The sequence below is a fragment of the Homo sapiens genome, chromosome 3 (assembly GCF_000001405.40).
Source record: "Homo sapiens chromosome 3, GRCh38.p14 Primary Assembly".
Taxonomy (NCBI): domain Eukaryota; kingdom Metazoa; phylum Chordata; class Mammalia; order Primates; family Hominidae; genus Homo; species Homo sapiens.
Window position 1 is genome coordinate 29,071,693 of NC_000003.12, and position 6,000 is coordinate 29,077,692.

Here is a 6,000-nt window from a genome sequence, read left to right on the forward strand (position 1 = left end):
TATTATTTCATTCAAAGAACAAACTCATGGATTTGCTGATCTTTTCTATGTTTTTTGCATCTTAATTTCCTACGCTTCAACTGTGATTTTGATTATTTCTTGTCTTCTACTAGCTTTGGGGTTGGTTTGCTCTTGTTTCTCTAATTGTGATGTTAGAGTGTTAATTCGAGATCTTTCTAACTTTTTGATGTGGGCATTTAGTGCTATAAACTTTCCTCTTAATACTGCTTTAGCTGTGTCCCAGAGATTCTGGTATGTTGTATCTTTGTTCTCACCAGTTTCAAAGAATTTCTTGATTTCTGCCTTAATTTCATTATTTTCCCAGAAGTGATTGAGGCCGACACTCAAGCTTTGTAGTCTGTCATTCCTGCTCTACAATGAATCAATCACTGAATCAGTCTGGGTAGAGTGGATCACATCCGTGATCCCAGCACTTTGGGATGGCCAAGGTGGGAGGATCACTTGTGGTCAGGAGTTTGAGACCAGCCTTGCCAATATGGCAAAACCCCATCTGTACTAAAAATACAAAAAGTAGCTGGGCATGGTGGTACACACCTGTAATCTCAGTTACTCAGGAGGCTGAGGCACAAGAATCACTTGAACACGGGAGGTGGAGGTTGCAGTAAACTAAGATGGTATGGGTGGCAGAGTTAGACTCTATCTCAAAAAAAAAAATCACTGAATTTATCACTGAATCAATCTCTTACTCTTTTTTTTTCCTACCTCTTTCTCTCCCTTTTTCTCTGGGTTTATGGTATTAGTTGAAGGACTTTGATGTTTTGTAGGTTCCTGGACCTAACTTCTATTTTAGGAGTTATTATCATTGTTTTTGTCTTGAGCATAGCAGTAGATTCATGCAAATATATTGCCATTTTTTCTTTCCACTCATTTCAGTAACCATGCCTTCAATGGAGCTTTCCAGCTCTTCCCTTTAAGATATGGAGTCTCTCCTGACCCTGGACTGGCTGTGAGACTTGCTTTGGTAGGTAAAAGTGATAGTACGCTACTTCAGAGTCTAGGACTCAAGAAACCATGCATGTGTCTATTTTCTCTCCTGGAATACTGCCACTTTCTTGAGAACAAGCCAGGCTAGCTTGCTAGAAGAGCAGATGCCAAGTGGAAAAGAGACAGCTCATCCCAGCTGAGGCCATACTAGATCAACAAGAATCCAACCAGTCTGCAGCTGACTGCCAAGCAAGAGTGAGCACATCAAAAATTCCCAGGAGATGCTTAGACTTACAGAAACTAATACATCATGGTGTTTAAATCACCAAATTTTAGGGTGGTTTGTTAACTATTATGTGCACTATAGATAACATTTAATCTTTCCTTATACAAGTGAAGGAGTAAGTGACTGTTAGTCTCAAAGAGATTCATCAACTTAATCCTAATTCTCAGAGGTTTTCCTTTCAAATAACTACATTCTACATTTACCCAGGGCTCCTTATTTTAACCTCTGTGTTAGTTTACATTTGGTGATATAACAAACTACTGCCAATTTAATGGCATAAAACAACACACTTCTATTATTTTACAGTTCTGGAGTTCAGAAGTCCTAAAATCATGCATCCTTTGAAATCTGGATCTACTGAGAATTTCCAAAATTATGTAGTGCTGGTTTTGCTTAAGAGTTCTTCCCTCAATGTGTCTCTTTCCTCATATTTTGCTATAAACAGCAATCAGAAACAAGGCCATACTTTCAACACTTTTCTTGGAAATCTCTTCAGGTAAATATCCAAAGTTATTGTTACCTGTTCTGCTTTCCATGTATTGGTAGGACACAATTCAACTAAGCTTTCTGCCACTATGTAACAAGGATCCCCTTTCTTTCGGTTTCCAATGACATGTTCCTTCTTTTCTTCTGGACCCTTATCAGTGATACTTTTAAAGTTTGTATTTCTACCAAGAGTTCATTTACAATGATTTAAATATCCTGTAAGAAAATACAGATTTTTCTACCATGTTCCTCACTATCATCTAGGTCTTCACTAGAAGAGTTGTCTACATTTTCACTAAAAGTCTAAGGAAATCTAAACTTTTCAGTCTTTGTCCCCAAAATTCTTTCAGTTTTTTCCTATTGCCCAATTCCAAAGCCACTTCTGTGTTTTTATTTGTTTTTTACAGAAGCACCTCACTACCAGTGCCATAGTTTGTATTTATTTATTACTGTTGCTGTAAAATTTGCGACAAACTTGGTGGCTTGAAACAACATAAATTTATTATCTTACCTTTCTAGAGGTCAGAAATCCTAAATTCAAAATGATGGCAGTGCTGTATTCCTTCTGGAGGCTCTAAGGGAGAATTCATTTCCTTGCATTTTTCCATGTTCTAGAGGACACCTCCATTTCTTGACCTCATGATTGTTTAATCTAGCTTTAAAGTAGGCAGCATAGCCTCTTCAAATCTCTTTCTCTGGGTGTGTGTGCTTGTCTTACCTCTGCTTTTGTCATATGTCCTCCTGTGACTCTGAAACCTCTGCCTCTCTCTTATCAGGACCCTTGTGATTATATAAGACACACTAACATAATCTAAGAGGATCTTCCCCTCTCATGACTTTTTACGTAATCATATCAACAAAGTCCCCTTTGCAATTGAAGGTAATCCACCCACAAATTAGGTCATAGATATCTTTGGGTGGGTGGGAACATTATTCTGCCTACCGTAACTACTTTTCTCAGTAGCTTTCTTTCAGTATCAAAATTCAGATCTAGAAAAAGCAGAAAAAGCAAATAGCGCTTTTCCATGGGTATTAAAATTTGCATGTATATATTAAAATTATGATTCCAAAGAGAAATAATTACTGATAAAATTATTTTATCAGTAATTGATATGTAGTGAAAAATAAAATGAGCCCCATATTATTTTCTTAAATAAGTCTCTTTGAATTCTTAACTACTTCTGAAACATTCATAGCCTAAATGGCTTTAACTATTATTAAATTTTTACTAGTAAGAAAGACCATTCTTGACAGAAGTCTGTCAACAATAAGGAAAGACCATCTTTGCATTAGTAGGAAAATGGATACGTCCCATGCTCTGTCATTTCTCTGATGCTTAAATTGAAATAATCTGCCTTTAAAGATGTTAATGACACTTCGGGAGGGCGAGGCGGGCAGATCATGAGGTCTGGAATTCAAGACTAGCCTGACCAATACAGTGAAACCCCATCCTTACTAAAAATACAAAAATTAGCCGGGCATGATGCTGCATGCCTGTAGTCCCAGCTACTTGGGAGGTTGAGACAGGAGAATCGCTTGAACCCAGGAGGCAGAGGTTACAGTGAACGAAGATCATGCCACTGCCCTCCAGAGAGCGAGACTCCATCTCAAAAAACAAACAAACAAATAAACAAACTGTTAATACAGGCAGGGTGAGACTGTGCTTGGTTTCTAATGCCCATAGCTCAGATTTCCGGTTTAAGAACAATCAATGGAGGCTAAAACAAGTATTTTTAAGATCAAAACCAAACTCAAGATAGGAACAAATAGCACCATATCACAAATAATATTATTTAATATATGATATTATCATTAACATCATATAATATGTTATAATATGAATATAATATGAATATGATGTTAATGATAACATATCACTTAAGATATGATATTTTCCTGTATCTTGAGTTTGGGTTTGAGCACTACTCACTTAGGTATTCTATTGTCATTGTTATCGTTGATCTGAAAATTAGTCAGCTTCTTTACAACTCCAGCCACAGTATTTGGCATCCTGACCTTCATTGACATTGATTGCCCCAAGCTGATCATATCCTGCAGAGATGAAAAATTTCCTTTTGTATATTATTTTGTCATTACTTCCTTGTGACTCCAATTTTTGCTTTGTAAAATTGTATAGACACAAGATAGAAACATAACTTTGCTACCCCTGCCCTGTGGTACATGGTAATATTAAAATAGTACTTCTCAGTGGCTTCCATTAGCAGAAATGACAATAGTAACTTTTTTTCATCTCATATAATCTAAATGCATGACTACATATCACACTGTACTTCTTTCAAGTCCTTGGATTCTGGTCCAGATAGTGCTCTTTATATAGGAAAAGATTATTTACTTTCACTCCAGGACTGTTTCAGTTCTGGCTTTAAGGCACACACATTAAAATCAAATATAATGCTTCAGCATGGTGTTAAGATCTGTCCTTTTTCGCATTCTGCTAAGCATCCTGTTTGCTTTTTGAAAATTGGTTTTTCACAGTGAAGAACATCATCAAAGTAACTCCAAAATAATTCCAAACTATTTTCTCCATAGAACATTTGGTCAGTTTACAGTCCAGCTGTTGACAGATGCAGGTTACATGGGGAAAGTTATCCTTCTGTAATATTTACTCTCTTAAATTCACACTAGGCTCCTGTGACAGTGAAATACTATGAACTGACTTCTTATACTGAGGTTAAAAGACAATCCAGAATGCTGCACTGGAAAGCTGATCTCATGTTTTACCCGCGCTTTATTTCATTCTTTCCGGAGTTAATTTTCATCTGCCATGAATCTGCCTCTTCATTCACTCCGGTGGAGTCCATCTGGAGTTCCTTTAGATTATCTGTGTGTTGATTTCCCCTCCCATCAAATCAAGGTAAGTTAGCATCATCAGAAACCTTCTCAATTATCATCTTTCACCTTACTTCAGATTTTGAGATGCCTACAGAATTCAGAAGTCCTGAAACTAGTCATGCTTGCCTGAAAGACTTTTTGCATGTAATCTTTAGTGTTATTATTATGTATTGTCTTATTTTTTAGCATGTGATATGCATGGAGGTGTGTGGTGGTGTATGTGTATAGGCTTGTATTTTAATACACACTATGGTTGACCTTAAACAGGATTTGAGTTGCAAATAGAACAGTTTATAGAAGGCAATATGACTTAGTGGTTAAATGTATGACTTTGGGGTCAGAACACATAGGTGTAAACGATGACTCTGCCATTTACTGAGTTTGCTTCTTTAGCCAGCTACCTTTGCTGTTCAAGACTCAATTTCTCCTTCCTTAAAATAGTGATTAAGATACAGTCTTTTCTGTAGGCTTTTTGATGGAGTTTAATGAGATCTTGCAAATAAGATCCTTAGCATGGTGCTTGCCAGGTATTAAATGCTCAGAATTTCATCTTTTATTCTTTATCTTGATAAAGATGTTGAGAAAATGTTCAGGAAAATTCCAACTCAAATAGAAATATGATTATATTGCTTAAAAGGAAATTGACATGTCTGACATTATGGATATAAATTTAAGGTCCTTGCCCTTAAGCAACACAGAATATAGGGAGGATATAGTAAAACAAAGGATTATATCACAGTTGACTAACTATGATGGGTAAAGATGTGGCCAAGACAGTATGAAAAAGCAGGGGTGCCTTCCCTCCATGTTGGCAAGAAAAGAATAAAGAGAAGGCTTTTTGGAGGAAGCAAGGTCTAGCTTTTAGTTCTTAATGGTGGGCAAGGAGTTCACAAAGTGAAGGGATAATTATTCTAGGTACAGACGTAAAAAGAATAAGATAATCTAAAAAATACAACCAAACTAAGCACAAACAAACAAAAAACTTAAAAGGCTAGATTATGTCACAGGAACTGAACTTGATTTCTGGCATAAATTTGTATGACATCAGAACCTGGTTGAGGAATTAAATAGCTCATTGGGCAGCTCTCATTTAGGCAGTGCTAAGAATATCCGGTTTAACTTCTGCCCTTGTACAAAATTTAGTAAAATAATAGTGGCTGTTATTTATTGAATACTCACTATAGACCAAACACTGAAGTTGGATACTTTATAACCATTGTCCTCTTCAAATATATTTTATCTATTTTAAGCTAAGTACAGTAAGCATGCCACCACTGTACAAACCTGTGTAGCAACTATGAGGAATGTTAAACAGAGTTTGAATTCCCAACCCCCTTTATTCTGTCCGGGTTATTTTTATTATGAGGATTAGAATTTCATATCTAAAGAATCCACTCACTGCTGCTACAACTTAGTTTCTTGATATGGCA